General features: G+C 63.6%; 2 protein-coding genes across 11 annotated transcripts, besides 19 other annotated features; one reads left to right on the top strand and one right to left on the bottom strand.

Moving 5' to 3' along the window:
• Nucleotides 2,304–2,489: a silencer, noted in NCBI's record as "fragment chr20:62207026-62207211 (GRCh37/hg19 assembly coordinates)". NCBI's record gives its function as "represses an EF-1alpha promoter that drives an FKBP-Casp9 reporter gene in an ReSE screen in K562 erythroleukemia cells {active_cell/tissue: K562}" and the evidence as "EXISTENCE:reporter gene assay evidence [ECO:0000049][PMID:32094911]".
• Nucleotides 3,087–3,814: an enhancer, noted in NCBI's record as "H3K27ac-H3K4me1 hESC enhancer chr20:62205701-62206428 (GRCh37/hg19 assembly coordinates)". NCBI's record gives its function as "activates a minimal SCP1, AML or CMV promoter by ChIP-STARR-seq in primed H9 embryonic stem cells {active_cell/tissue: H9 hESC(primed)}" and the evidence as "EXISTENCE:reporter gene assay evidence [ECO:0000049][PMID:30033119]".
• Nucleotides 3,087–3,878: a biological region, named in NCBI's record as "H3K27ac-H3K4me1 hESC enhancer GRCh37_chr20:62205701-62206428".
• Nucleotides 3,599–3,878: a silencer, noted in NCBI's record as "silent region_13166". NCBI's record gives its function as "represses an Ori minimal core promoter by ATAC-STARR-seq in GM12878 lymphoblastoid cells {active_cell/tissue: GM12878}" and the evidence as "EXISTENCE:reporter gene assay evidence [ECO:0000049][PMID:35858748]".
• HELZ2 (helicase with zinc finger 2) lies at nt 3,923–20,076 on the top strand. 3 transcript variants are annotated; one of them, NM_001037335.2, is made up of 20 exons: nt 3,923–3,978; nt 4,941–6,054; nt 7,294–7,477; nt 7,551–7,658; nt 8,497–9,014; nt 9,163–9,804; nt 10,535–11,318; nt 11,709–11,784; nt 11,931–15,642; nt 15,780–15,874; nt 15,959–16,090; nt 16,178–16,339; nt 16,417–16,561; nt 16,696–16,812; nt 16,888–17,080; nt 17,233–17,367; nt 17,465–17,683; nt 17,835–17,991; nt 18,067–18,234; nt 18,792–20,076. In NM_001037335.2, the coding sequence occupies exons 2-20, from the start codon at nt 5,777–5,779 to the stop codon at nt 18,914–18,916; spliced, it is 7,950 nt and encodes a 2,649-aa protein (NP_001032412.2). In that variant the 5' UTR covers nt 3,923–3,978; nt 4,941–5,776; the 3' UTR covers nt 18,917–20,076. The 3 variants fall into 3 exon arrangements, with proteins under 3 accessions (NP_001032412.2, XP_024307774.1, NP_208384.3); XM_024452006.2 differs by lacking the exon at nt 3,923–3,978 and having other exon boundaries at nt 4,988–6,054; nt 15,780–16,090; NM_033405.3 differs by lacking the exons at nt 3,923–3,978; nt 4,941–6,054; nt 7,294–7,477; ... (1 more) ...; nt 8,497–9,014; nt 9,163–9,804 and having other exon boundaries at nt 10,408–11,318.
• Nucleotides 4,519–4,578: a silencer, noted in NCBI's record as "silent region_13165". NCBI's record gives its function as "represses an Ori minimal core promoter by ATAC-STARR-seq in GM12878 lymphoblastoid cells {active_cell/tissue: GM12878}" and the evidence as "EXISTENCE:reporter gene assay evidence [ECO:0000049][PMID:35858748]".
• Nucleotides 6,589–6,945: a silencer, noted in NCBI's record as "fragment chr20:62202570-62202926 (GRCh37/hg19 assembly coordinates)". NCBI's record gives its function as "represses an EF-1alpha promoter that drives an FKBP-Casp9 reporter gene in an ReSE screen in phorbol 12-myristate 13-acetate-treated (for megakaryocytic differentiation) K562 erythroleukemia cells {active_cell/tissue: K562(+PMA)}" and the evidence as "EXISTENCE:reporter gene assay evidence [ECO:0000049][PMID:32094911]".
• Nucleotides 9,585–9,634: an enhancer, noted in NCBI's record as "active region_18233". NCBI's record gives its function as "activates an Ori minimal core promoter by ATAC-STARR-seq in GM12878 lymphoblastoid cells {active_cell/tissue: GM12878}" and the evidence as "EXISTENCE:reporter gene assay evidence [ECO:0000049][PMID:35858748]".
• Nucleotides 9,655–9,744: an enhancer, noted in NCBI's record as "active region_18232". NCBI's record gives its function as "activates an Ori minimal core promoter by ATAC-STARR-seq in GM12878 lymphoblastoid cells {active_cell/tissue: GM12878}" and the evidence as "EXISTENCE:reporter gene assay evidence [ECO:0000049][PMID:35858748]".
• Nucleotides 9,835–9,904: an enhancer, noted in NCBI's record as "active region_18231". NCBI's record gives its function as "activates an Ori minimal core promoter by ATAC-STARR-seq in GM12878 lymphoblastoid cells {active_cell/tissue: GM12878}" and the evidence as "EXISTENCE:reporter gene assay evidence [ECO:0000049][PMID:35858748]".
• Nucleotides 10,315–10,384: an enhancer, noted in NCBI's record as "active region_18230". NCBI's record gives its function as "activates an Ori minimal core promoter by ATAC-STARR-seq in GM12878 lymphoblastoid cells {active_cell/tissue: GM12878}" and the evidence as "EXISTENCE:reporter gene assay evidence [ECO:0000049][PMID:35858748]".
• Nucleotides 10,855–10,904: an enhancer, noted in NCBI's record as "active region_18229". NCBI's record gives its function as "activates an Ori minimal core promoter by ATAC-STARR-seq in GM12878 lymphoblastoid cells {active_cell/tissue: GM12878}" and the evidence as "EXISTENCE:reporter gene assay evidence [ECO:0000049][PMID:35858748]".
• Nucleotides 13,759–13,928: an enhancer, noted in NCBI's record as "experimental_61120 CRE fragment used in MPRA reporter constructs". NCBI's record gives its function as "activates a minimal promoter by MPRAs in K562 erythroleukemia cells, with activity observed for both the introgressed and non-introgressed 20:62195672 variant alleles {active_cell/tissue: K562}" and the evidence as "EXISTENCE:reporter gene assay evidence [ECO:0000049][PMID:34662402]".
• Nucleotides 20,077–21,453: 1,377 nt separating the features above from the next.
• On the bottom strand, nt 21,454–25,142 carry FNDC11 (fibronectin type III domain containing 11). Of its 8 annotated transcripts, none has more exons than NM_024059.3 (2): nt 25,061–25,142; nt 21,454–22,508 (listed from the first exon to the last, which is right to left on the bottom strand). In NM_024059.3, the coding sequence occupies exon 2, from the start codon at nt 22,496–22,498 to the stop codon at nt 21,542–21,544; it is 957 nt and encodes a 318-aa protein (NP_076964.1). In that variant the 5' UTR covers nt 22,499–22,508; nt 25,061–25,142; the 3' UTR covers nt 21,454–21,541. The 8 variants fall into 8 exon arrangements, with proteins under 8 accessions (NP_076964.1, XP_047296423.1, XP_047296424.1 ...); XM_047440467.1 differs by lacking the exon at nt 25,061–25,142 and adding an exon at nt 23,891–24,003 and having other exon boundaries at nt 21,454–22,730; XM_047440468.1 differs by having other exon boundaries at nt 21,467–22,508; nt 24,865–25,119.
• Nucleotides 23,912–24,161: a silencer, noted in NCBI's record as "silent region_13164". NCBI's record gives its function as "represses an Ori minimal core promoter by ATAC-STARR-seq in GM12878 lymphoblastoid cells {active_cell/tissue: GM12878}" and the evidence as "EXISTENCE:reporter gene assay evidence [ECO:0000049][PMID:35858748]".
• Nucleotides 24,432–24,571: a silencer, noted in NCBI's record as "silent region_13163". NCBI's record gives its function as "represses an Ori minimal core promoter by ATAC-STARR-seq in GM12878 lymphoblastoid cells {active_cell/tissue: GM12878}" and the evidence as "EXISTENCE:reporter gene assay evidence [ECO:0000049][PMID:35858748]".
• Nucleotides 24,432–24,821: a biological region, named in NCBI's record as "Sharpr-MPRA regulatory region 13995".
• Nucleotides 24,512–24,806: an enhancer, noted in NCBI's record as "tiled region #13995; HepG2 Activating DNase unmatched - State 4:PromP, and K562 Activating non-DNase unmatched - State 1:Tss". NCBI's record gives its function as "activates a minimal TATA promoter and a strong SV40 promoter by Sharpr-MPRA in HepG2 and K562 cells {active_cell/tissue: HepG2 | K562}" and the evidence as "EXISTENCE:reporter gene assay evidence [ECO:0000049][PMID:27701403]".
• Nucleotides 24,592–24,741: a silencer, noted in NCBI's record as "silent region_13162". NCBI's record gives its function as "represses an Ori minimal core promoter by ATAC-STARR-seq in GM12878 lymphoblastoid cells {active_cell/tissue: GM12878}" and the evidence as "EXISTENCE:reporter gene assay evidence [ECO:0000049][PMID:35858748]".
• Nucleotides 24,762–24,821: a silencer, noted in NCBI's record as "silent region_13161". NCBI's record gives its function as "represses an Ori minimal core promoter by ATAC-STARR-seq in GM12878 lymphoblastoid cells {active_cell/tissue: GM12878}" and the evidence as "EXISTENCE:reporter gene assay evidence [ECO:0000049][PMID:35858748]".
• Nucleotides 25,102–25,191: an enhancer, noted in NCBI's record as "active region_18228". NCBI's record gives its function as "activates an Ori minimal core promoter by ATAC-STARR-seq in GM12878 lymphoblastoid cells {active_cell/tissue: GM12878}" and the evidence as "EXISTENCE:reporter gene assay evidence [ECO:0000049][PMID:35858748]".

Genomic DNA, 27,116 nt, shown 5'->3' with positions numbered 1-27,116 from the left:
CACTCAGCCCGTGTGAGCGTGTTGTTGGCCGTGTGCTGTGTGTACGTGGAACTCTGTCCCGTGGTGTCACACTCAGCCCGTGTGAGCGTGTTGGCCGTGTGCTGTGTGTACGTGGAACTCTCTCCCGTGGTCTCACACTCAGCCCGTGTTAGGGGTCACTGTGGCCTGAGCACAGCTGGACGGGAGCCAGAGAGCTGTCCACGGCAACCTGCAGGTTTTCAATGCTCTGTGGACTCGAGGTGGCACTTTTTGTTTTTGTTTTGAGTTAAGAAGACGTGCACAGATGTGAAAGGTGGGCGGAAACAGGACATCTCCCTCCTGTCCTGGCCGCACAGTCCTGATCTGTCTCCCAGGCTGGAGTGCACTGGCACCATCACAGCTTACTGAGGTCTTGAACTCCTGGGCTCAAGTGATCCTCCCGCCTCAGCCTACCAAATTGCTGGGATCACAGGTGTGAGCCACCGTGCCTGGCCAACCTCATTTTTAATGGCCTTAGAGTCTTCCATGGCACAGGGTGGAGACTGCCCATTACATAGACCCTGAGCGAGGGGCCCTGGGCATTCCCGGTCCATTGGGTGTAGAAGGAGCTGCCGGGAGCTGTTGGTGGGCACAGATGTCCCTCTGTGCAGGAGCCTCTGTGGAGCCACGTGGAAGGCGCGTGTCCTGTGCTCCCGGGCCTGGCTGGTTTCCAGAGCGGTGCTGCCAGTTTAGACTCTGGCCGAGTGCCTGCAATGTCAGAGGGGTGGACGGGTTGTCTGGGGCTGGTTTGCGTTTCCCTTACGCCGAGGTTGAACACTTCACTCCATTTACAGCAATTTCACTTTCCACGTTTTGTGAAGTATTGATTTGCATCCTTTGCCTATTTTTCTTTTAAATTATACATCTTTTTCTTAATTTATAAGATCTTTAAAATATTAGAGAGATCAGGGCCAGGCGCGGTGGCTCACGCCTGTAATCTCAGCACTTTGGGAGGCCGAGGTGGGTGGATCACGAGGTCAGGAGATCGAGACCATCCTAGCTAACACGGTGAAACCCCGTCTCTACTAAAAATGCAAAAAATTAGCCAGGCGTGGTGGTGGGCGCCTGTAGTCCCAGCTACTTGGGAGACTGAGGCAGGAGAATGGCGTGAACCCGGGAGGTGGAGCTTGCCGAGATTGTGCCACTGCACTCCAGCCTGGGTGACAAGAGTGAGACTCCGTCTCAAGAAAAAAAAATATATATCAGAGCGATCAGACTTTTCACTGTGACATAAGCTGCAATTTTGTTTTCTGTTCATGTTTGGTTTTTGACTCCTTTGATGGTGGTGTTTTTTTCCATGTGAAATTGTTTTGTGTCATTGAATTTATCACTGTTGTGCTGGTAGATGTTTAATTCGTTCTCTAAGAAGAAAAAAACAGTGCTTCAGGAGACAGGTTTTGTGGATTTCTGGGGTGTATGCTTGCCCCTCACGGCATGTGTGAAGCCACCAGCCCTGTCCTTGAGCCTGGCTGGGGGCGAGTGGCGCAGGGCTGGATTTCACCTAGAAAGGCCTTTCACATCCCAAGAGTCCTGAGAATCAGACACTTTCAGCCCTGGTTTCTCCTAGTGCCTCTGTGGTTGGCTTTTCCTTCCGTGAGAGTGTTTGATTATTTCATATGGTGTAAGATGCTACGCAGAGACCGTCCCTCCCATTTTTGTTTCCAGATGCTGCTAATCAGTTGTTCTAATAATTTGTGGAATGCATCAATGAATTGTTTTTCCCTGAGGTGTGAGAGCCAAGCTTTCTTTTCTTTTCTTTTCTTTCTTTTTTTTTTTTTTTGAGACAGAGTCTCGTTCCGTCTCCCAGGCTGGAGTGCAATGGTGTGATCTCAGCTTACTGCAACCTCCGCCTCGCCCCCCCCGACCCCAGGTTCAAGGGATTCTCCTGCCTCAGCCTCCTGAGTAGCTGGGACTACAGGCACCTGCCACCACGCCCAGCTATTTTTTTTTTTTTTTTTTGTATTTTTAGAAGAGATGGGGTTTCACTATGTTGGCCAGGCTGGTCTCGAACTCCTGACCTCAGGTGATCTGCCCACCTTGGCCTCCCAAAGTGCTGGGATTACAGGCGTGAGCCAGTGCGCCTGGCCGAGAGCCAATCTTTCATCCCACCCCAGACTCCTGAGTGTGACTCTATTTCTGGACTCTCTGTTCTGCCTTGGAACTGTGTGTCCACACCGGGTTCAGTGGCTTTGCAGTGTGTTATGTGTTTAGTAAGTCATGCCAGCACCCGCTGGGAATCCTTTTTAGTCATCATCCTGGGCTGGGTGTTGGGATTCAAGCCTGTAATCTAATCCCGGCACTCAAGGAGGCCGAGGTGGGGGGTTTGCTTGAGCCCAGGAGTTCAAGAGCAGCCTGGGCAACATTGAGAAACCCCATCTCTGAAAAACATAGAAAAAACTCCAAAATAGTTAACTGTGGTGGTGTGCACCTGTACTGTGGTGGTGTGTGCCTGTAGTCCCAGCGACTCAGGAGGCTGAGGGGGGAAGACTGTCTGAGCCAGAGGTCGAGGCTGCAGTGAACTGTGATTGCATCACTGCACTCCCGCCGGGGCAATGGAAGGAGACTCAGTCTCAAAAAAAAAAAAAGCCCTGTCCAGCCTTTCTTGGTGATGTGATGCTTTTCCAAATGGACTTGAAAGTCAGTGTGTCCACCATGCGACTGCAGGTTAGTTTAGGAGGAACTCACGTCTTTGTGTGGTGTTGAGCCTCTCCATCCAGGAACACAGCGTTCCACACAAATTCTCCCAGCGTTCCACGCACATGGACCCTGCTCAGCGCCCGGCCCCTGGGGCTGCTATTGTCGAGGGCCTGCCCTCTCCCAGGAGCTCCAACGTGATTGGTCTGCGGAGAGGCTCCCTGGTGGTTGACGGCCCACCCAGCCGACCTCCCGAGGTCGCTGTGAGCCCCCAGCCTGGCCCTCCCCACGAGGTGCTGGCCTTGGGTGGCAGCCTTGCTTCCTTGTTTCAGGGGCAGCATCACTGTCCGTTATCTACTGCTGCAGAACAGATCGCCCCAAAGCTCAGGGGCTTAAAACAACACAGATGTTTATTTTATTTATTTATTTGTTTTGAGATGGAGTCTTGCTCTGTTGCCCAGGCTGGAGTGCAGTGGCGCAATCTTGGCGCACTGCAACCTCCACTTCCTTGGTTCAAGCAATGCTTCTGCCTCAGCCTCCCGAGTAACTGGGACTACAGGCGCCCGCCCCCACCCCTGGCTAATGGGACGTTTATTTTAAACATAGACATCTAACAGCTGGGCGTGGTCTAGGTGGGAGGGTTAGGCCTGGGGTCTCCCTGAGATGGCAGTAAGGCTGGGGCTGGGACTCGAGCTGCAAGTGGGCTGGAGGCCTCAGCTCCTCTATGGGGCCTCCCCACAGGGCTGCTGAGGGCCCAGAGCCAGTCCAGAGAGCCAAGAGCCAGGCGTGCTGACTCTGGGACCCGGCGGCCACTTAGCCATTCCTGCCATATCCTGGTTGGTGACAGAAGGGACTTGGGGTCCCAGCAGCACCAGGGCCACGGGCAGGTCCTGCCTGTCAGGGGACCCAGGCTTCCAGGTCAGCTGTGCCTGGATTTCTCCAGGGGCTGATGGTGGAGTCACCAGACCATCCTGCCGTCCAGGGCCGGGCAGGGTCTCACCCCTTCCGCCTGGCACATCATCGGGGCGTCTCTGGTGTGTGAAGGGCTGGACGGGGCGTGGGGCCCTGGAGGGGTGCGGGAAAGGACCCCCACCCCCAGCCGCCTCCGCCTTCGACGGCGCTGGCCCTTCAGGGAGGGGCGTCCTCTGCTCGCTGGCGCTTCCCGAGGTTCCCTCGCAGCGGGGGCCGAGCTGTCGCTGGAGGCGGGGCAGGGCGGGGCGGGGCGGGGGGCGGTGAGGTAATTTCCGCGATCAGCGTCAGTGCCCGGGCCAGAATCGAAACTGAGAGCTCCTGGGCAGGCTCGGCAGGGCAGGCAGCTCCAGGAGGGTGAGCGCGGGGGTCCCAGGGCGGAGGGGCGGGGGCGCGGGGGTCCAGGGGCGGCTCCAGGAGGGTGAGCGCGGGGGTCCCAGGGTGGCGGGGCCGGGGGCGGAGGGGGGGGTCCGGGAGGGTGAGTGCAGCCGGGGGCGCGGAGTCCCGGGAGCCACAGACCCAGCCCGGGGCAGTGCAGCCCGTCCAGGACCAGCACCCTCCGCAGCAAGACCCAGCGCTGTGGTCTCTGCACCCACTGGAGCGCAGGATTTTGGGGTCTCGGCTCCCGTCCTTTCTGGATGGCAGACTCGGATGTTTTCTCAGAGGGGTCCGCGGGGAGTGCCGGGTTCTCATACTGAAGTCTGCCTCCAGTCTGTTGCTTTTAAACTTACTCTTCTTGTAGCATCCCAGCTGCGGTGGGGACCCGGGGACCCATCTCTTCCTGGCACCCTGAGCTCTGGTGGGCACTGTACCCTCCTCTCCGTGAGGCCCCTCCCCAGGTGCAGATGTGGAGTCCTCTTTTCCTGGGGGCCAGTGGTCATTCAATAGAAAAGGAGGTGCTGTGTCCTTAGAAGAGTCAGGAGCCTGAGGCCCTGGGGTGCACAGGACCCCTGGCTGGGGCAGAGGGGTGCGGCCTCCTGGGGGCGGCACTGTGCCAAGGGCTCTGCCCCCTCCAGGGCTCCACAAGCAGTCACCTTGGCTCCTTCTAGGTGGGGCCTGAGACCCTTCAGGAGGGAGGGTCTGGCTGTGTCCGGGTCAGTGAGCCCTGTACTCCCTGACAGGACACAGCTACTGCCAAGGCCTCCACTTGGGCGTCAGGGTGGGGAGAGTCCCAACTCCTTGCTTGGTGGAGAGGCCTCTGCTTGGGCATCAGGATAGGCAGATCCCCAGCTCCTTGCCTGGTGGAGAGGCCGTGCTTCTGAGCTGGGCCTGGACCAGATGTCCTCTGGCCTCAGTCTCACCTGCTCCTTCTGTCGCAGGCTTCGAACCGTGGCCAACAGTTCCAGTGGACTGCGTGGACCCGTGAGCTCAGGAGCCTCAGACGCCTCCCTGGAGAGCCAAGCTGGTGTTCGAGGTGGCGCCTCCAGGGTCCACCCTGCTGCCCAACAGCCCCGCGGCCACCAGAGGGCCGTCCCTGGCCCGGCTGTGTGCCCTGGTGGACCTGTGTCTGGGCTGCTCCCGCTGCACCCAGCGGCTCAATGAAAGCACCTACGTCCTCCGTAGGGTGGAGCATGACTGCTCCCGCGAGATCCTGCTGGCCCGCTTTAAGCAGGCCACCAAGAGCAAGGTCTGGCGCGTGGTGGGCTGCCGGCCCACCTTCCCAAGGCCCCTGTGCTACCAAGTCTGCCACTACTACAGCCCTGGGCTCGGCTGCCGGCGCCACCGAAACCGGTGCACCTTTGCCCGCAGTCGCGAGGAGGCCCTGGTCTGGACCTTCGAGCGTCAGCACAACCTCCAGCGCCTATGGCTGAAGGCGGAGGTGCAGGGCAGCGGGGCCCAGGGAGGGGCAGGCCGGGCGGCCGACGCCATCCTTACGGAGTTTGGCGGCCGCTTCGAGCTGCTTTGCTCCCTCTGCTTCAGGCGCTGTCCCCCATGCATCTGTCGCGTGGACCCCCAGGGGCAGTGCCCTGAGCACGGAGCCTGCCCCTCCCTCCTGGCCCACGTGAGCGCCGAGGGCCGCCGCAAGCAACAGTTTGTGGTGGTGAGGCCGCGGCCCCGGGCCGGCCAGCCTCCTGCCTACTGCAGGTTTGTGGGGCGTGGGCAGCCGTGCTGGCGTGGGGAGTCCCGCTGCCAGTTTGCACACAGCGCCGTGGAGATGGCTGTGTGGGAGGCCGAGCAGCTGGGTGGCCTCCAGCGGGGGGACCTGCTCACACCCCCTGCCCCTGATGGCGACGGGCGCACGGCCCCCCTTGGCCAGCCCCCTGGGGCCCAGCTGTACTGCCCGGCCTGCTTGGTCACCTGCCACTCTCAGGAGGCCTTCGAGAACCACTGCGCATCCTCGGAGCACGCACAGATGGTGGCCTTCGACCAGGCCCTGCCCTGGGAGCACCGTTCCCCACCCCCGGGACTCTCCAAGTTCGAGCTCTGCCCAAAGTAAGGATACTCGAGGCAGGAGCTTGGAGTAGGGCAGGAGCCCACCATAGGCAGAACCAGAGGTTCCCAGGAGCTTGGAGTGGGGCAGGAGCCCACCACAGGCAGAGCCAGAGGCTCCCAGGAGCTTGGAGTAGGGCAGGAGCCCACCGTAGGCAGAGCCAGAGGCTCCCAGGAGCTTGGAGTAGCGCAGGAGCCCACCACAGGCAGAGCCAGAGGCTCCCAGGAGCTTGGAGCAGGGCAGGAGCCCACCGTAGGCAGAGCCAGAGGTTCCCAGGAGCTTGGAGTGGGGCAGGAGCCCACCGTAGGCAGAGCCAGAGGCTCCCAGGAGCTTGGAGCGGGGCAGGAGCCCACCACAGGCAGAGCCAGAGGCTCCCAGGAGCTTGGAGCGGGGCAGGAGCCCACCGTAGGCAGAGCCAGAGGTTCCCAGGAGCTTGGAGCGGGGCAGGAGCCCACTGTAGGCAGAGCCAGAGACTCCCAGGAGCTTGGAGCGGGGCAGGAGCCCACCACAGGCAGAGCCAGAGGCTCCCAGGAGCTTGGAGCAGGGCAGGAGCCCACCGTAGGCAGAGCCAGAGGTTCCCAGGAGCTTGGAGCAGGGCAGGAGCCCACCACAGGCAGAGCCAGAGGCTCCCAGGAGCTTGGAGCAGGGCAGGAGCCCACCGTAGGCAGAGCCAGAGGTTCCCAGGAGCTTGGAGCGGGGCAGGAGCCCACCGTAGGCAGAGCCAGAGGTTCCCAGGAGCTTGGAGCGGGGCAGGAGCCCACCACAGGCAGAGCCAGAGGCTCCCAGGAGCTTGGAGCGGGGCAGGAGCCCACCACAGGCAGAGCCAGAGGTTCCCAGGAGCTTGGAGCGGGGCAGGAGCCCACCACAGGCAGAGCCAGAGGCTCCCAGGAGCTTGGAGCGGGGCAGGAGCCCACCGTAGGCAGAGCCAGAGGTTCCCAGGAGCTTGGAGCGGGGCAGGAGCCCACCGTAGGCAGAGCCAGAGGCTCCCAGGTTCAGTGGACGGGGGCCTCCCTGCCACCTGCTGAGGGCTAAAGCCATGTGGCCTCTGAGGACCCGGATAAGGGAGGTTCATGTTTGGGAACTGCTTGAGCCAGGCCTTGTCCCGGGAGCACAGGAGTGGGTGGGACGAATAAAGCCCCTGCTCCCTACAGAGGCCAGTATTGGGCTGAGGGGTCCCGGCCTTTGAACTCAGCACGGCGGCTGTGCCTCTGTGTAGCCCTGCTGACCTCCCTGTCCCCCAGGCCTGACCTCTGTGAGTATGGGGACGCCTGCACCAAGGCACACTCAGCACAGGAGCTGCAGGAGTGGGTCCGGCGCACGCAGGCTGTGGAGCTGCGGGGGCAGGCGGCCTGGCAGGACGGGCTGGTGCCCTACCAGGAGCGGCTGCTGGCCGAGTACCAGCGCAGCAGCAGTGAGGTCCTTGTGGTAAGTGGGCCCTGGGAGTGGGTGGGGTGGGGTGGGGTCCAGGCCTCTTGCTGAAGGCTAGACTTCCACGCAGCTGGCAGAGACCCTTGATGGAGTGCGTGTCACCTGCAACCAGCCCCTGATGTACCAGGCCCAGGAGAGGAAGACCCAGTACAGCTGGACGTTTGCCGTCCACTCTGAGGTGAGCGGAGAACAGCTCCGACTGGGCGGAGGGAGCCCTGGGGAAGTGGTGACTTCAGCCCGGGCAGACGTCAACAGCCTGGGTCATGGAGCTAATACCGAGGCACTGCCGCTCAGCACCTGCGTGACCTGCAGCAGGTCCCTTAGCCTCTCTGCCTCAGTCTCCTCACCTAGAGACAGGGGGCCAGGACAGTCCCACCTTGGCAGGGTTATTCTATGGAGTATATGGGTTAAAACAAGGATTTGGCCAGGTGCGGTGGTTCACGCCTGTAATCCCAGCACTTTGGGAGACCGAGGCAGGTGGATCACCTGAGGTCGGGAGTTCGAGATCAGCCTGGCCAATAGGGTGAAACTCCGTCTCTACTGAAAAAAAAAAAAAAAAAAAAAAATTAGCCAGGCATGGTGGTGGGTGCCTGTGATCCCATCTACTCGGGAGGCTGAGGCAGGAAAATCACTTGAACCCAGGAGGCGGAGGTTGTAGTGAGTTGAGATCGCGCCATTGCACTCCAGCCTGGCGACAAGAGTGAAACTCCGTCTCAAAAACCAAAACAAAAACAAGGATTCACCAGGGTCTGGCACCTGGAGAGTGGGTGGTGAGGCCTCAAGCTGCCCACACTGCCCCACGGGACATCCACAGGGGCCCCAGGAGGGTTCAGCCACCCCCATGTAGCACAGGAAGAAACTGAGGATGGCAGAGGCCGGGTGGCCTGCTTGCGTTCTATCCAGGAAGTGGCAGGGCCAGGACCTGAACCCTGCACTTGGGCTACGCTGGCCAGGCTGCCTCTCGGGAGGGTTGGGGGGAGCCCTGGGCCCCCCTCACCGTCTGGCCTCCTCTCCAGGAGCCCCTGCTACACGTGGCCCTGCTGAAGCAGGAGCCAGGAGCCGACTTCTCTCTGGTGGCTCCCGGCCTCCCGCCAGGCCGGCTCTACGCACGGGGTGAGCGCTTCCGTGTGCCCAGCTCCACTGCCGACTTCCAGGTGGGAGTGCGTGTGCAGGCTGCCTCGTTCGGCACCTTTGAGCAATGGGTGGTCTTCGACTTTGGCCGCCGGCCGGTGCTGCTACAAAAGCTGGGGCTGCAGCTGGGCCAGGGGCGTCGCCCAGGACCCTGCAGGAATCTGGCGCTCGGCCACCCTGAGGAGATGGAGCGCTGGCACACTGGCAACCGCCACGTGGTGCCTGGCGTGGAGCGGACGGCCGAGCAGACGGCCCTGATGGCCAAGTACAAGGGCCCTGCCCTGGCCCTGGAGTTCAACCGCAGCAGCGTGGCCTCGGGCCCCATCTCACCAACCAACTATCGGCAGAGGATGCACCAGTTTCTCTATGAGGAGGAGGCGGCTCAGCAGCAGCTGGTGGCCAAGTGAGCTGGGGGCAACAGGAGCAGCTGGGGTAGCAGGAGCAGCTGGGGCAATGGGAGCGGCTGGGGCAACGGGAGCGGATGGGGGCGTGGACTTGGCAGCGGGGCTGGCAGCTGTGGCCCCATGAGCTGACCCAGGCCATCCTGCCAGGCTGACCCTGCGGGGCCAGGTGTTCCTGAAGACGGCATTGCAGACGCCAGCGCTGAACATGCTCTTCGCGCCTCCGGGAGCACTGTACGCAGAGGTCCCCGTCCCCTCCTCCCTGATGCCAGACACAGACCAGGGCTTCCTGCTGGGCCGGGCGGTCAGCACAGCCCTGGTGGCCCCTGTACCTGCACCCGACAATACGGTGTTCGAGGTGCGGCTGGAGAGGCGGGCCAGCTCAGAGCAGGCGCTGTGGCTGCTGCTTCCGGCCCGCTGCTGCTTGGCCCTGGGGCTGCAGCCTGAGGCCCGCCTGGTCCTGGAGGTGCAGTTCCAGATTGACCCGATGACCTTCCGCCTCTGGCACCAGGCAGTGGACACACTGCCTGAGGAGCAGCTGGTGGTGCCCGACTTGCCCACCTGCGCCCTGCCCAGACCTTGGTCTGTCCCACCCTTGCGGCGTGGCAACCGCAAGCAGGAGCTGGCCGTGGCGCTCATCGCGGGCTGGGGCCCTGGGGATGGGAGGCGTGTCCCCCCGCTACTCATCTATGGCCCCTTTGGCACCGGCAAGACCTACACGCTGGCCATGGCCTCCCTGGAGGTCATCCGGAGGCCTGAAACCAAGGTGCTCATCTGCACACACACCAACAGGTAAGCCCGAGCCTGGCCTGCCCCCACCTCACCTGACGCCCGGCCCAAGTCTACACCGGGCAGGCGGTCACCCCCTGGATGTGCTCCAGTCCTCTGATTCTGCACTCCCTGTAGCCGACCAGCTTTGGGCTTTGGCTTTATCAGGCCCAGCTCAGGGCACCGAGGGTGGCCGGGTCTGCTGTCAGGTGAGGAGCTGGGTGCCTCTGCCGGGGCCCTGGCCCAAGGAGAGTGTCACGGGGAAGGCTGCAGCATGGCCCACCCAGGACTTCTGGGGATGAGTCTTGTTTTTCGTTTTTATAGAAACACAGATCTTTGTCCTAACCACAAGGTTCCCCTTTGGTTTATGTGGTTTCCTCTGGTTCCTGCCACCACCACCTCCCCAGGCCGGGGCCTTCCCATCCCTGCCCAGTGGGGAGTGGGAGGAAGAGCCTGGGACAGTGGCCATACGTCCCGGGCTGATTTCTGGATTGGGGGTTCTGGGGACCAGGGAGGTGCAGGTGTCTGCAGTGTCAGAGGAGCCGCTGGGCTCGCCCAGGTGTTGCCTGAAGCCCTCCGTGGCCTCTTGCCCCTTGGACTCCTGACAGGAGGGACACCAGTGTTTGCTGCTCACCTCTGACAGCCAGACAAGGGCTGTGCTCAGGGGCAGCTCGGCTGGGCACACAGTAGGTGCTTTAGCGGACAGCACTGAGGCCCCCAGCAAGAAGCCCATGAGCTCCTCCCCCTCCCGCAGTGCCGCCGACATCTACATCCGGGAGTATTTCCACAGCCACGTCAGCGGCGGCCACCCCGAGGCCACTCCTCTCCGTGTGATGTACACGGACCGGCCGCTGAGCCAGACGGACCCAGTCACGCTGCAGTACTGTTGCCTGACCGACGACCGCCAGGCTTTCCGCCCGCCCACACGGGCAGAGCTGGCGCGGCACCGCGTGGTGGTCACCACCACCTCCCAGGCCCGTGAGCTCAGGGTGCCGGTCGGCTTCTTCTCCCACATTCTCATCGATGAGGCGGCCCAGATGCTGGAGTGCGAGGCCCTCACCCCGCTGGCCTATGCCTCGCACGGCACCCGCCTCGTGCTGGCGGGCGACCACATGCAGGTCACACCCCGGCTGTTCAGTGTGGCCAGGGCCCGGGCGGCCGAGCACACGCTGCTGCACCGCCTCTTCCTGTGCTACCAGCAGGAGACTCACGAGGTGGCGCGGCAGAGCCGCCTGGTCTTCCACGAGAACTACCGCTGCACGGACGCCATTGTCAGCTTCATCTCGCGGCACTTCTACGTGGCCAAGGGCAACCCCATCCACGCCAGGGGCAAGGTTCCGCCCCACCCCCGGCACTACCCGCTCATGTTCTGCCACGTGGCGGGCAGCCCAGACCGGGACATGTCCATGGCGTCCTGGCTGAATCTGGCTGAGATTGCGCAGGTCGTCGAGAAGGTGCAGGAGGCCTACAACACCTGGCCCAGCTGCTGGGGCGGCCGCGAGCAGAGGTGCATCTGTGTCGTTTCCCACGGTGCCCAGGTGAGCCCGGCCAGCCCGGGACAGCCCCCGACCGCACCCCTGCTGGGGGAGGGGGAGCTCTCCGGCTGATGGACGAGCCCCCGCCTCAGTTTCCCCATCTGTAAGAGGGGGCTGCAGTATTTGCCTCCCAGGGCTGAGGTGGGGCTCGGCCCCTGAGGTGTCTGGAGCTTGGTGGGGGTGCCGTCTCCTTGTCGGGGGTGGCCCAGTCCTCACTGCGTCCTGCGCTCATCCCCGAGCTTGGTGGGGGTGCCCTCTCCTTGTCGGGGGTGGCCCAGTCCTCACTGCGTCCTGCGCTCATCCCCGAGCTTGGTGGGGGTGCCCTCTCCTTGTCGGGGGTGGCCGAGTCCTCACTGCGTCCAGCACTCATCCCCGGCCCTGCTGCGTCTTCAGGTCAGTGCACTGAGGCAGGAGCTGAGGAGGCGGGACCTAGGCCAGGTGTCTGTCGGCAGTTTTGAGATCCTGCCAGGTGGGTGACCAGCGGGGCCAGGTGCTGCCAGCTGCCCCAGGATACCCCGGGTGGCTCGGCCCACTCCTCAGCCTGGCATCGGCAGGGGTGGGGCTGGTCCCACCGTCTTGCGCACCCAGCCTGACCTGACTGCGTGCCCCCTGCAGGGCGGCAGTTCCGGGTCGTGGTGCTCAGCACTGTGCACACCTGCCAGAGCCTGCTCAGCCCTGGGGCACTGGCCCCTGAGTTCTTCACCGACGCCCGCGTGCTCAACACCGTCCTGACCCGCGCCCAGTCCCAGCTGGTGGTAGTGGGGGACGCCGTGGCCCTCTGCTCCTTCGGGGCCTGCGGCAAGCTCTGGGAGAGCTTCATCCGTGAGTGCGTGGAGCGGCACAGTGTCTGCCCCGAGGGCCTGTCCATGGAGCAGGTCGAGCAGGGTGTGGCGCAGAGACGGCGCTGGCCTCCCCGAGGCACACAGGCTGGGGCAGCGGGGAACTGGGAGGCTGCCCCAGAGCCAGTAGGGGACCTGGCCGAGGAGCAGGCGGCTGTGGTGACGGCCATGGTGAAGGCAGAGCCGGGAGATGAGGCTCTGAGCCCAGCATCCCGTGACATCACGGCAACCACAGCGCAGACGGAGGCTGCGGCAGCACCAGCAGGAGACGCAGTGAAGGAAGACGTGGTGCCCGGGGCCTGTGCGGCAGGAGCGGCTGCTGCAGCGGGCGTGGAGTCCACGGAGGCTGAGGATGCAGAGGCTGACTTCTGGCCGTGGGACGGGGAGCTCAACGCTGACGACGCCATCCTACGGGAGCTTCTGGACGAGAGCCAGAAGGTGATGGTGACCGTCGGGGAGGACGGGCTGCTGGACACTGTCGCCAGGCCCGAGTCCCTGCAGCAGGCCCGGCTGTACGAGAACCTGCCCCCGGCTGCGCTACGGAAGCTGCTGCACGCGGAGCCCGAGCGGTACCGCCACTGCTCTTTCGTGCCAGAGACCTTCGAGCGGGCGTCAGCCATCCCGCTGGACGATGCCTCCTCGGGCCCCATCCAGGTCAGGGGCCGCCTGGACTGTGGGATGGCCTTCGCCGGGGATGAGGTGCTGGTGCAGCTCCTTTCGGGAGACAAGGCGCCCGAGGGGCGGCTTCGGGGCCGCGTGCTGGGCGTGCTGAAGAGGAAGAGGCACGAGCTGGCGTTTGTGTGCCGCATGGACACGTGGGACCCGCGCATCATGGTCCCCATCAATGGCTCCGTGACCAAGATCTTCGTGGCCGAGCTGAAGGACCCATCGCAGGTCCCCATCTACAGCCTCCGGAAGGGCCGGCTGCAGCGTGTGGGGCTTGAGAGGCTCACCGCCGAGGCCCGGCACAGCCGGCTCTTCTGGGTCCAAATTGTCCTGTGGCGGCAAGGCTTCTACTACCCGCTGGGCATCGTCCGGGAGGTGCTGCCTGAGGCCAGCACCTGGGAGCAGGGCCTCCGCATCCTCGGCCTGGAGTACAGCTTGAGGGTGCCCCCGTCGGACCAGGCCACCATCACCAAGGTGCTGCAGAAATACCACACGGAGCTTGGCCGGGTTGCCGGCCGCCGAGAGGACTGCCGCGCCTTCTTGACCTTCACTGTGGACCCCCAGGGCGCCTGCAACCTCGATGATGCCCTCAGTGTCCGAGACCTGGGTCCCAGGTGCGAGGTGGCTGTGCACATCACTGATGTGGCCAGCTTCGTGCCCAGGGACGGGGTGCTGGACGTGGAGGCGCGAAGGCAGGGCGCTGCGTTCTATGCCCCCGGCAGGGAGCCAGTGCCCATGCTGCCGGCCAGCCTCTGCCAGGACGTCCTCAGCCTCCTGCCTGGCCGGGACCGCCTGGCCATCTCCCTGTTCCTCACCATGGAGAAGGCCAGTGGCCAGCTGAAGAGCCTGCGCTTTGCACCCTCCGTGGTCCAGTCTGACCGCCAGCTGTCCTACGAGGAGGCGGAGGAGGTGATCAGGCAGCACCCGGGTGCCGGCCGTGAGCTGCCGGCCCGCCTGGACTCCGTGGACGCCTGCGTCGTGGCCGCGTGCTACTTCTCTCGGCTGCTGCGCCGGCACCGCCTGCGGTCCGACTGCTTCTATGAGCAGCCGGACGAGGACGGCACCCTGGGCTTCCGCGCGGCCCACATCATGGTGAAGGAGTACATGATTCAGTTTAATAGGCTCGTGGCTGAGTTCCTGGTGGGCAGCGAGTGCACGCGGACGGTCACGCCTCTGCGGTGGCAGCCAGCACCCCGCAGCCAGCAGCTCAAGGCCCTGTGTGAGAAGCATGGGGACCGGGTGCCCCTGTCACTGCACCTCGGCCACCACCTGCACGGCGGCGGGGGCAGTCCCCCCGACACGCGGCTGCACCTCCTGGCCTCCCTCTGGAAGCAGGTCCAGTTTGCTGCCCGCACCCAGGACTACGAACAGATGGTGGACTTGGTCACCACGGACGACATGCACCCATTCCTGGCTCCTGCAGGCCGCGACCTCCGCAAGGCCCTGGAGCGCTCGGCGTTCGGCCGCTGCGCCCGGGGCCACCAGCAGCAGGGCGGCCACTACTCGCTGCAGGTGGACTGGTACACGTGGGCCACCTCGCCCATCCGCAGGTACCTGGACGTGGTGTTGCAGCGGCAGATCCTGCTGGCGCTGGGCCATGGGGGCTCTGCCTACTCTGCCAGGGACATCGATGGGCTCTGCCAGGCCTTCAGCCTCCAGCACGCACTTGCCCAGAGCTATCAGCGGCGGGCGCGCAGCCTGCACCTGGCCGTGCAGCTCAAGGCCCAGCCTCTGGACAAGCTGGGCTTCGTGGTGGACGTGGAGGCGGGCTCCCGCTGCTTCCGGCTGCTCTTCCCCAGCAACCGGGAGACGCTGCCTGACCCCTGCCCCGTCCCCTACGGCTCCCTGCAGCTGGCCGAGCACCCCCACGCCCTGGCAGGCCGGCCGGGCCTGCGGCTCCTGTGGCGGCGCCGTGTCTACTCAGCGCAGGGATCCAGCCCGCCCCTGCCACTGCCTGGCACTGTGCCGGACCCACACACCCTGGCCGTGGAGACGGCCCTGTGGAAGCAGCTGCTGGAGCTGGTGGAGCTGCAGCGCTGGCCGGAGGCGGCTGCTCTCATCCAGGAGAAGGGCGAGGCGTCCCAGCGGCGGGAGCTGGTGCAGGTGCAGCGGAGCCACTGTGGCCATTTCCTGGAGGTGGCCCGGGAGCTGGGCAGTGGGGACACCCTGCAGGTGCAGCTCGGCACCAGCCTGCAGCACGGCTTCCTGGTACCGAGCCCTCAGCTCTGGACGGTGGCACCGGGCTTCAGCCTCTGCCTGGAGCACGTGGAGCGGCCCGGAGACTGCTTCTCAGGCCGTGTGTACCGGGCCCCGAGGGACCGGTACCGCGACGTGGATGAGTACGCCTGCGTGTGGGAACCATTCTGCGCCCTGGAGTCGGCCACCGGCGCGGTTGCCGAGAATGACTCCGTCACACTTCAGCACCTGAGTGTCTCCTGGGAGGCGTCACGGACGCCGCAGGGGCAGCTGCAGGGCGCCTTCCGCCTGGAGGCCGCCTTCCTCGAGGAGAACTGTGCCGACATCAACTTCAGCTGCTGCTACCTCTGCATCCGGCTCGAGGGGCTGCCGGCTCCCACGGCCAGCCCACGCCCTGGGCCCAGCAGCCTCGGCCCTGGCCTGAATGTTGACCCCGGCACGTATACCTGGGTGGCCCACGGGCAGACGCAGGACTGGGACCAGGAGCGCCGGGCAGACCGGCAGGAGGCTCCCAGACGGGTGCACCTCTTCGTCCACCACATGGGCATGGAGAAGGTTCCGGAAGAGGTGCTGAGGCCGGGCACCCTGTTCACCGTTGAGCTGCTGCCCAAGCAGCTTCCTGATCTGTGAGTGGCTTCCACCAGCAGAGGCTGGGCTGGGGGACCGCCCCGGGCCCCTCACTTGCAGGAGGGGGGAGCTCGTGGGGCAGCAGCCCCTTTCCTGGGAGTCCTGTTGGTTTTCCAGTGTCTGCCTTCACCCCCAGCCGCAAGGAGGAAGCCGTGCGTGGACTAGAGGAGGCGTCCCCGCTGGTCACCAGCATCGCACTGGGCCGGCCTGTCCCGCAGCCCCTCTGCAGAGGTAGGTCTGCCCCACCCCTCCAGCTTCCCCTCTGGCCCCCAGCCCCACCCTGCATGAGTGCTCAGGGAGGCTGCCCCCTCTCAGTGATCCCCAGCAGGTTCCTGGAGCGGCAGACCTACAACATCCCCGGAGGCCGCCACAAGCTGAACCCCAGCCAGAACGTGGCGGTCAGGGAGGCTCTGGAGAAGCCTTTCACGGTCATTCAGGGCCCACCAGGTAGGGCCCATGCCGGGGGAGCCGCAGGCTGCCTTGGGCCACAGGGACCCACAGGGTGGGCTACAATCTCCTATTCTCTGGCTGCAGGTACAGGGAAGACGATCGTGGGCCTCCACATCGTATTCTGGTTTCATAAATCAAACCAGGAGCAGGTGCAGCCCGGAGGCCCCCCCCGTGGGGAGAAGCGGCTGGGGGGTCCCTGCATCTTGTACTGCGGCCCCTCCAACAAGTCGGTGGATGTCCTGGCAGGTGCGCCGGGGTCGGCGGTGGGGGCCTTTGGGGAGCTGGCACGCGGGGCAGGACTCACGTCCCCCAACTACCCTCAGGACTGCTCCTGAGAAGGATGGAGCTGAAGCCCCTCCGTGTGTACAGTGAGCAGGCTGAGGCCAGCGAGTTCCCAGTGCCGCGTGTGGGCAGCAGGAAGCTGCTCAGGAAGAGCCCCCGGGAGGGGAGGCCGAACCAGAGCCTCAGGTGTGCCTGCTGTCTTTGGGGCTTGGGCGGAGTGGGGCCGAGCTGTCCAGACAGTCCTGTGTAGGTGGGTCTCACTGAGCTCTGCCCCCGTGATGGCCCTGCGTGGACAGGGCTCACTGTGTCCTGTCCCCCAGGAGCATCACCCTGCACCACCGGATCCGGCAGGCCCCCAACCCTTACTCGTCGGAAATCAAGGCCTTTGACACCCGGCTGCAGAGAGGGGAGCTCTTCTCCAGGGAGGACCTGGTCTGGTAAGTGGCAGGGGCCAGGGGGTGGAGCTGCCTGCAGCATGGGGGCCCTGGGGTGACAAGCAGTGTCCCCGGCAGGTACAAGAAGGTCTTGTGGGAGGCTCGGAAGTTCGAGCTGGACCGGCATGAGGTCATCCTCTGCACCTGCTCCTGTGCAGCCTCTGCCAGCCTCAAAATCCTGGACGTGAGGCAGATCCTTGTTGACGAGGCAGGCATGGCCACGGAACCTGAAACCCTCATCCCCCTGGTGCAGTTCCCACAGGCCGAGAAGGTTGGTCGGCGGGGGGTGTGGGCAGCATGAGCAGGCGTCCCTGGCACAGTCTCCCACCTGGGGTGCCCTGTGTGTGCAGACGCGGGTGTCGTGTGGGGCTGGGGTCCCTCTGGGTCTAGGGGTGTCAGGGCCAGGCCTGCCTATTCCTCCAGGTGGTTCTTCTCGGAGACCACAAGCAGCTGCGGCCTGTGGTCAAGAATGAGCGGCTGCAAAACCTGGGTCTGGACCGGTCTCTGTTCGAGCGGTACCACGAGGACGCACATATGCTGGACACTCAGTACCGCATGGTGAGCCCGCCCCACTCAGCCCCCAGCCCACCTGCAGCCCCTGGGGGGCCACAACCCCGCGTGGCAGCCTCTGACCAGCGCACATCCTTGCCTGCAGCATGAGGGCATCTGTGCCTTCCCCTCTGTGGCGTTCTACAAGAGCAAGCTGAAGACGTGGCAGGGCCTGAGGAGGCCGCCCAGTGTCCTGGGCCACGCTGGCAAGGAGAGCTGCCCTGTCATCTTTGGCCACGTGCAGGGCCACGAGCGGAGCCTGCTGGTGTCCACGGACGAAGGGAATGAGAACTCCAAGGCCAACCTGGAGGAGGTGGCTGAGGTGGTGAGTGTCTGGTGCCTGTGAGTCAGGGAGGGCTTTCTGGAGGAGGTGGCTGAGGTGGTGAGTGTCTGGTGCTTGTGAGTCAGGGAGGGCTTCCTGGAGGAGGGCAGGAGAGACACCAGGGTCCGCTCCACCTGCCCCCTCGGCTCCTCAGGTCCGTATCACCAAGCAGCTGACCCTGGGGAGGACCGTAGAGCCCCAGGACATCGCCGTCCTCACGCCCTACAACGCGCAGGCCTCTGAGATCAGCAAGGCCCTTCGGCGAGAGGGCATCGCCGGGGTGGCCGTGTCCTCCATCACCAAGAGCCAGGGTGAGGCTGGGGGCTCGTGGGTGGGGCCGGGAGGGTGGGCGCAGCGGCAGCAGGGCCTCACCTCCCATCCCGCAGGGAGCGAGTGGCGCTATGTGCTGGTGAGCACCGTCCGCACCTGTGCCAAGAGCGACCTGGACCAGCGGCCCACCAAGAGCTGGCTCAAGAAGTTTCTGGGCTTCGTTGTGGACCCCAACCAAGTGAATGTGGCTGTCACGCGGGCCCAGGAGGGGCTCTGCCTGATCGGTGAGGGCGGGGCTGGGCTCTTCCAGGGTGGGAACACAGGTGAGGCCAGGGCTGGGCTAGGGAGCTGCCGACTCCTGCCTGACCCTGACTCCGACCTGACCCTGACTCCTCCCACCTGACCCTGACTCCTCCCACCTGACTCTGACTGACTCCCATCTGACCCTGACTCCTCCCACCTGACCCTGACTCCTCCCACCTGACCCTGACTGACTCCCACCTGACCCTGACTCCTCCCACCTGACCCTGACTCCGACCTGACCCTGACTCCTCCCACCTGACCCTGACTCCTCCCACCTGACTCTGACTGACTCCCATCTGACCCTGACTCCTCCCACCTGACCCTGACTCCTCCCACCTGACCCTGACTCCTCCCACCTGACCCTGACTCCTCCCACCTGACTCTGACTGACTCCCATCTGACCCTGACTCCTCCCACCTGACCCTGACTCCTCCCACCTGACCCTGACTGACTCCCACCTGACCCTGACTCCTCCCACCTGACCCTGACTCCTCCCACCTGACCCTGACTGACTCCCATCTGACTCCCACCCTCACAGGAGACCACCTCCTTCTGCGCTGCTGCCCCCTCTGGCGTAGCCTCCTGGACTTCTGCGAGGCTCAGCAGACCCTCGTGCCTGCCGGCCAGGTGCGCGTCTGCAGGAGGCCAACTATGCCTTCCTGAAGAGCCCTCTCCACCTGCAAGGTGCCAGGACTGGGAGGGAAAGTCCAGGGCCCCCCCACCCTCCCCACCACCCTCCGCCATCAGCCTGCCTGGGCCAGCCTGCCTCCTGGCCTCAGGATCTCCCTGGGGCAGGAAGTGGGTGGACTTGGAGGAGGAACGGCAAGGGCCGGTCCCCACACTCTTGCTCCTCCTGGGCATCTGGGGACAGGAACACCTCTCAGGGTGGCCAAGAGGGGCTTCCTTGGGACCAGTGCAAGGAAGTTCTGCTGTCCCTGGGAAGTCTCAGAACCAGGAAGGAAACCCTGTGGAGGCTGCCCTTTGACCTTTGGACGCCACCTGTAATCACTCTGGATGGTGTCTGTGGAGTTCAGGTTTATTTTCTATTTAAATGAACTAAAAGCCAGCATCCTGCCGGGCGTGGTGGCTCACGCCCATAATCCAGCACTTTGGGAAGCCGAGGCGGGCAGATCACCTGAGGTCAGGAGTTCGAGACCATCCTGGCCAACATGGTGAAACCCCGTCTCCACTAAAAATACAAAATTAGCTGGGCGTGGTGGCGGGCGCCTGTAATCCCAGCTACTTGGGAGGCTGAGGCAGGAGAATCGCTTGACTCCAGGAGGCGCAGGCTGCAGTGAGCTCTGATGGTACCACTGCACTCCAGCCTGGGTGACAGAGCGAGACCCTGTCTTAAAAAAAAAAACAAAACAAAACCAGCATCTGTTACTGGAACAGAGACCTCAGCCCAAGCTCAGGACAAGGAGGCCTCCCTGGGAGAGGGGGCCTTTCTCCCACCATCACCGCCTGTGTCCTTCAGGGGCTGCTGGAGGGCAGCCCAAAGCCAGGGGCCCACCCCGCCCCACCCCACCCCACCCCACCCTCTGAAATGTGAAAAGCCTGCACTCTTCCTGTGGGCTGCGCAGTGGGCTCGGGGGTTGGGGGGTGCCGGGGCGATGCTTCCACCCTGGACTGAGTGTTCGGGGCAGCCTGCTCGGCTGTATGTTTCTCGCACGCTCACCCGCTTCAGTGCGGCTCTGTCCCTGCTGCCGCCTCCAGTCCTGAGGGAGGGGCTTGCCCCACCTTCTACATTCCAATTTTTATATCTTTGAATTATGTGATTAGATATTAATTTAATGATAAAACCACTCTGAAAGCTCTTCTCACTTCTGGGTGTTTGAGGTCTGGCTGGGGGGCAAAAGTGGATGGTCACTGTGCTTGGTACGCAGTTGTGGAGGCTGTCGAGGGCCTACTGCAGAGCGCTGGGCGCAGGGGCGTGGGGAGGGCGGTTTTGGGACGCGGCCGTGGAGGCCGTCGAGGGCCCACTGCAGAGCGCTGGGCGCAGGGGCGTGGGGAGGGCGGTTTTGGGACGCGGCCGTGGAGGCCGTCGAGGGCCCACTGCAGAGCGCTGGGCGCAGGAGCGTGGGGAGGGCAGCGACCCCCCCTGCAGGGCCGGTGTCTCCGGCTGCCTGTGTGGGGAGGGGAGGGCCGTGCCTGGTGTGGTGGGGACAAGCCACAGCTCCAGAGCTGCTCCGGTGTCACCAGGCTGGCCAAGTCCAAAGTCCCTGAGGCCACCAGCCTTGACTGTCCTGCTGGTCCCACTTTTAAAGCTGCTCCCCAGGACCCCCTGGCCGCTGTGGACTGGGGTCCCTCCGCACCTGGCCCATTTGTGGCTGCGTCCACAGGGGCTCCTGTGGCCTCCCAGAGCCAGCTCGGGGGTCAGATGGTCGCGGGGGCTATGGTCACTGTGGGAAAAGAGGTTCTGGGCATCTGTGGAGGGAGGGGTGGAGCATGGAGTCTCCAGGACTGTGGCCCCGTTGGTGTGCTGGACGGGCCCTGCCTTGAAGACCATGTCTATTCTTGGACCGTCATGAAATAAGAGTAGTTCTGCAATAGCTTGAGAAGTGCCTGCAGAGAGGATGAGAAGGCGCCTCTAGGAAGGGGGACTTGGGGACCTCACCAGCCTGCAGCCAGGGAAGGCTTCTGGGAGGAAGGGGCAGCTGCGGCCCTGAAGGTGAGCGGTGGGGGGACGCAGGGGCTGGACGCCTAGCAAAAGCAGCTGATCCTGGAGGAGAGAGGGAGCTCAGGGCCGGGAAGGCCCTTGAGGAACAAAAGGTGGGGCGGGGCATGGAGGGGCACGGCTGAGCTGCTCACAGCCAGGGATCCCCGGTGGTGCTGCTGCCTCCTCGGGCGGGCGTGCTGATGAGCACTCGAGGCTGGGCAGGGGATGGTGGGAGGCATCACGGCCTAGGAGTGTCATTCCCTGAGGGAGCCCCACAAGCCAGGGAGGTGGGTAAGGAAGGCCGGAGCCCGGTCACGGTGATGGGGGTGGTGAGGAGGGGCGGGGGCTAGGACCGCAGAGGCCCCGTGGAGCAGCTTTTGTCGTCGTCGTTGGACCCGTAGGTGTCAGGGGCTGGTACTTCTTGCTCCAGGCTCAGCTGTCTTGGGAGGTCCGGCCTGTGGCTCCCCCTGGGAAAGAGCAGGAGCAGAAGGCCTGGGGCTTGGCATGTTTTGAGCCAGGAAAAACACTGGTGGCTGCTGCCTTTAAAACATAAATAGGTTTGCTTCTTTAATTCCATATGTGCATTTACACTCTTCTTTATTAGTGGATAAATATTAGAAAATCATCTCTCAGACAGAGTGGCTGAGGGCGGGCCCCTCCAGGGGCTCCGGCTTGGTGTGCAGGGTGAGGCTGTCCCTCCAGGGCTCGTACACCAGCGTGGAGGTCTCGGCCCTCTTGATGGTGAACTTATAGGATCGGTTGGGCAGCAGGTTTCGGACGTCGAAGGTGCAGGCAGCCACGGGGATGACGCCACACTGGGCGCACTCCTGCTGTGTCCGCGGGTCCAGCAGCCTGAAGCGCAACTCATACTGCTCCGATGTGGCTGGCTGGATGGTGACGAACCAGCGCAGCCGGGCCCAGTCCTGGTGAGCCGCCGACGCCTTTCGGTCAAACACGACAGGCATCTTGGTGCTCAGCATGAGCCAGATGTGCGGGATCTTGGTGGCACTGACATCAGACACCAGGCGGTGCTTGACGTGTAGCCGCCCCGGCACCATCATGGTCAGGAAGCTGTCCATGACGGCCGACACGTCCGCCAGCCGCCGCTCCACCAGCGCCCAGTCGGCCAGGAAGGGCCGTGGGTCTGGCGACCGGAGCAGGGCATCCAGCTCAGCACGGCCATGGTCGAGCTGTTCCAACAGGTCCCCGAGCAGCAGGAGCTGGATCTTGGTCTGAGCTGTGCCCACCTTCTTCATGCGCTGGAACTTCCAGGGGTCGATGAGCTGGAACAAGGCGCTAGGCAGCACCAGCGGGTTCTGGTCGCCCAGGGCCAGGTGCTTGGGCAGGACCTCGATGTAGTAGGAGCACTTACGCAGCAGCTGCATGCGGGCGTGGTGGCGCTTGAGCAGGTGCGGACTCAGGTCCGAGGTCAGGAACTCACGCAGGGCATTGCGGCGCTCGGTGTAGGTCTTCCACGCCTCTGGTTCCAGCAGCTGCTGGTCATCTGCCTCCTCCTGGTCCAGGAAGGACTGGGGATTGCCCAGCTTCATCTTGTCCAGGCCCAGGCCTGCCACATGGGTGCTCATTATCCGGGAGCTGGGGGGAGGGCTGGGTGTCAGCTGCCAGGCAGGCTGGCCTCCCCTGGGCTGTGGCATGTTCGGGGGATGGATTCAGCCCACTGACCCCATGCTGGACCTCTGTCCTTCTTCGGGGGCACAACTCGATGGGAAGAGGCTGCCTGGAGGGCTGGATGGGCAGCCTACAGATCTGGACACAGTTTATACTGAGGGGCAAAAACCTCTACTGACAACCAGTGGCCTGTGGGACAGGACAGGGAAGAACTAGGACTGCGGACTTCTGGCCAGAACCGCCTGACCTGTGGCCTTGCAAGGGCCCCAGTTCCTAACCCTGCTGCTGAAAGGGGTTGCTGGCACCCCTCGGGGCCGTGGAGAGGGGACGGCGTGGTCCTAAGCAGCACAGGATCCCCCTCGGGGACATTCGCGGGCCATCCTCCCGCTCCGGTTCTCCCTGGGGACGCTCCACGCCTCACCGCAGTTGTAGGGCACAGAGACAGGCCTCACCAAAGACGAGGCCAGCTGGCTGGTCAGCATGGGAGGAGGGCGCCCAGGCCTGGGCCCGGAGGAGCAGCCCTCCTCCCACGCTGTGGGCCCTCGCTGTGGACCCGGGATCCTGTCCCTGGTGAGCTCATGGACTCCACAAGTGACACTCCATTTCCCAGATGGAGCCTGAGGCTAAGAAGCTTGGTTCTTGTTCTCATCCAGGGCTTGAGCCCAGTGCTGAGCCGAGTCTGACCCTCTGTCCGTGGGTGCACCGGCTGAGTGCAGCTGTGGCCCCAGGCTCTGCCGCAGCTCCCTGGAGAGCAAGCCGCACCCCTGGTTGCTGCCCCGGCTCCCAGCAACCCTGGAGATCTCAGGTTGTCACAGCCACTTGGGCCTTGGACGACCCACAAATGAGAGCTAAGCAGTTGCTGAGTTCCCCAGGGCCACACAGGTACGTGGTGAAGTCATATCTGCCCGGGAAGGGTTGCCCTTTTGGGCGTGAGGCAGATATGACTTCACGAGCGCACTCCTCGGGAATCCCTCGAGAACAGGCCCCTGGGGGCAGCAGGGAGTGTGTCTGGGGTGAGGTGCCAGCTGAGAGCAGGACCCCAGGACCCCAGGCCTAAGCCCTGCTCTTGCTGGAGGCTGGGGCGGATTTCACCGCTGGAGGGAAACCGTGCCTCTGTGACGTGTGAGGGATGTTTTCTAGTCTCCAGCAGCTGCCCAGGTGGAACACCCAGAGAGGCTGGTCGTGAACCCGGAAAGGTGGTTCTGAGCCCCTCGCTGCTTCCTACACGCCCCGGTCCCAGGCCCGCTTCCCTGAGACCACCAGGTGCCCGCACTCTACCCCCTCCACCACACTCCCCTTGGCTCCCCTGGCCCGGGCCCACCTCCCCGGCCGCTCTGCCTGCCCCTTACCTTCTCGAGACCCCCAGCCCTCCTCTCCCGGCCCCCGCCGCCGCCCCAGGACCGCGCCCACTTGCCCTGCCTCTGAAGCGGAGCCGCGCGCGGACTTCCCAGAGCCCAGCCTCCCTCCGCACTCCGCGGGTTGCCCTGGGGACCAGCGGCCTTTGTGACGCTGCGGCCCGGGGGCGGGGCGGGGGTGGGGACCCGGGACCCCGAGCCGAGTAATCTTCCATCCGCTTCGCTTCCTGGAGAGCCCCAGACTTCTGGGGGCCCGCGTCCCCGACTGAGGGGCCACGGCGGGTGGCTGGTCCAAGAGCCAGGCTCCAAGGGGGGTTCCCGTCCCGGAGCCCTTCCGCGGGCGCACCACTCCCCACGCACCCCCGGCTTCGGGCGGGGCGCAGGAGCCTCGGGTGACTGGGAGGGAGTTCCTGCTCAACCCCCCAGTCCGAGCGCACTCCTCGGGAATCCCTCGGAGGAATTTGGGAGAGAGGCAGTGGCCGGTGACCAGGCGGATGGACCACCCAGCGCCTGGACAGAGGAGAGGGGCGGCTTCCCCCGCCGCGGGCTCTGCCCAGCAAGGCCCCGCCCATTACAGATGCCACCCATTACAGGCTCCTCCCACCGCAGGCTCCCCCCACCGCAGGCTCCTCAACCACAGGCTCCTCCCACCATGGGCTCCCCCCTCCCCCGCAACGGCCCCTCCCATCATAGGCTCCTCCCACCGCGGGCTCCCCCCACCACGGCCCCTCCCACCACAGGCTCCTCCCAGAGCAGGCTCCTCCCACCGCGGGCTCCCCTACTACGGCCCCTCCCACCACAGGGTCTTCCCACCACAGGCTCCTCCCAGCGCAGGCTCCTCCCACCGCGGGCTCCCCCCACCACGGCCCCTCCCATCATAGGCTCCTCCCACTACAGGCTCCTCCCACTACAGGCTCCTCCCACCATGGGCTCCTTCCACCTGGGGCTGCCCAAGCTCAGGCACCGACCTGACTCTGGATAAATGGGGTCTCCATAGCTCCAGGGAGCCCCGCAGGGGAGCTCTGAGGCCATCTGGTCCCGTCTGTATCTGTTCAGTTGGGCTCAGGGCCTCTGGGATCCCCCCGTTCCCCCACAGCACACCCCAGCTAGCTGGGGGTCTCCTGGGGTCACAATCTTAGACACCCCAAGGTGCCCCTCCTTCACCTTCAGGAAGATGCTGGAGGAAGACACCCTTTCCATCCTCCTCATCTCCACCCCCACGGAGGTCAGTGCTGGGGCCTCTTCCAGGATGGGCGTCTTTGAGCCCCTACCAGGCTGTTCTGTAACTTGAGCCTCCCCCCTCCTCCCGGTGACCCCACCCTGGAAGAGCTTTCCCTTGGTGCATGGAGGCCCCAGGGGTTAGGCCTGGCAGGAAGTGGGTGGATGTGGGTGGTTTTTTTTTTGAGATAGCGTCTTGCTCTGTCACCCATGCGGCAGTCTTCACCCCCGGGGCTCAAGTGATCCTCCCACCTGGGTCTTTCTGATCCTTCCGGATTACAGGTGTGAGCCTTGCACCCAGTCCTGTTGGGTGCTGTTTCTGCCCTGCCCTCCCTGCCTGGGCTGGAACTCAATAAATGCCAGCTATTGTTATTGTTATTTAGGGCTCCAGGGGACAAAGCCGGGGTTGTTTGGAGAAGGGGGTGCTGTCTGACGCGGAGGGTTGGGAAGCAGTAGGAGTTAGACCCCTTACCCCCGGCCCTGCAGCCCACTGACGGAGAAGCGGGGTGGGGGCAGAGCAGCCTCCCCTTCTCTTTTGGGGCCAGGCAGGTCCTGGATGTCTCCCCTCTCCTGGGCTCCACCCTACCCCCTTTCTTTCAATTTCTGATTTCTAATCTAATTTTTTAAAGTTAAACTTTTGGCCAGGCTCGGTGGCGCAGGCCCATAACCTCAGCACTTTGAGAGGCCAAGGTGAGAGGATCCCTTGAGGCCAGAAGTTTGAGACCAGCCTCGGCAACACAGGGAGACCCCTGTCTCTACAAATAATTTGAAAAATTAGCTGGGTGTGGTGGTGTGCACCTGTGGTCTCAGCTACTTGGAAAGCTGAGGCCGGAGGATCACCTGAGCCTGGGAGGATGAGGCTGCAGTGAGCCAAGATGGTGCCACTGCACTCCAGCCTGGGTGACAGAGGGAGACCCTGTGTCTCTAAAAAGAATAATAATGGCTGGGCGCAGTGGCTCACGCCTATAATCCCAGCACTTCGGGAGGCTGAGGCAAGCAGATCACCTGAGGTCAGGAGTTCAAGACCAGCCTGGCCAACATAGTAAGACCCAGTCTCTACTAACAATACAAAAATTAGCTGGACGTGATCGAGACCATGGTGAAACCCCGTCTCTACTAAAAATACAAAACACTAGCTGGGAGTGGTGGCAGGCGCCTGTAGTCCCAGCTACTCGGGAGACTGAGGCAGGAGAATGGCGTGAACCTGGAAGGTGGAGCTTGCAGTGAGCCGAGATCACGCCACTGCACTCCAGCCTGGGCGACAGAGCGAGACTCTGTCTCAAAAAAAAAAAAAAAATTAGCTGGACGTGGTGGTGGGCGCCTGTAGTCCCAGCTACTCAGGAGGCTGAGGCAGGAGAATCGCTTGAACCCAGGAGGTGGAGGTTGCAGTGAGCCGAGATTGTGCCACTGCACTCCAGCCTGGGTGCAATAAGACAGAGGCCTGTCTCGAAAATAATAATAATAATAATAAAGTTAAACTTTTACTTTTAAGATAAGTATAGATTCATCTGCAGTTGTAAGAAGTAACACAGAGGTCCCGTTACCCTCTATCCAGCATCCCCAGTGGTAGCATCTTGCAGGACTGCAGTGCAGAATCACGCCAGGACCTTGACGTCGATACAGACGCAAGGCAGTGCCACCCCCACGGGACCCTGACATGTTCTTTACAGCCACGCTGCTCCCTCCCACCTCTCCCTAGCCCTGCAACCACTCATCTCTCCGGCTCTGTCTGGTCATTTCAAGAATGTCCTATCAGTGCAGGCTTTCAGTATGCAGCCTTGGGACTGGCTTCTTGCGCTCAGCATAGTCCCCTCTGTGCAGGGTCAACAGTCACTCCTGTTCACTGCTGGGCACCAGGGGCCAGTTTGTGCTCAGTCTTGCTCAACCCTGTTTGTGGCCACCAGGGCACGGGCAGTGAACACTTTGGATCTGTTGTCCCTGGTGGGGACAAGCTCTCTTCCCTGGGCCCTGAGGATGGTGAAGCCTGGGGGTAGTGGGGCCA

Source organism: Homo sapiens, chromosome 20, assembly GCF_000001405.40.
Source record: "Homo sapiens chromosome 20, GRCh38.p14 Primary Assembly".
NCBI classification, from domain to species: Eukaryota; Metazoa; Chordata; class Mammalia; order Primates; family Hominidae; genus Homo; species Homo sapiens.
The sequence above is the reverse complement of the archived record's forward strand: the minus strand, read 5'-3'. Positions and strand labels throughout refer to the sequence as shown.

Bases quoted from the DNA above. Each gene is read 5' to 3' on its own strand.
- HELZ2 (XM_024452006.2), top strand. From the start codon at position 5,777: ATGGCTGTGTGGGAGGCCGAGCAGCTGGGTGGCCTCCAGCGGGGGGAC. The intron at 6,055-7,293 runs GTAAGGATACTC...CCTGTCCCCCAG, and splicing joins AAGTTCGAGCTCTGCCCAAA to GCCTGACCTCTGTGAGTATG. The intron at 9,805-10,534 runs GTAAGCCCGAGC...CCCCTCCCGCAG, and splicing joins ATCTGCACACACACCAACAG to TGCCGCCGACATCTACATCC.
- FNDC11 (XM_047440466.1), bottom strand. From the start codon at position 24,468: ATGGGCGGGGCCTTGCTGGGCAGAGCCCGCGGCGGGGGAAGCCGCCCC. The intron at 22,509-24,256 runs GTGCGTGGGGAG...CCCTCCCCCCAG, and splicing joins CGCCCCGCCCGAAGCCGGGG to CTCCCGGATAATGAGCACCC.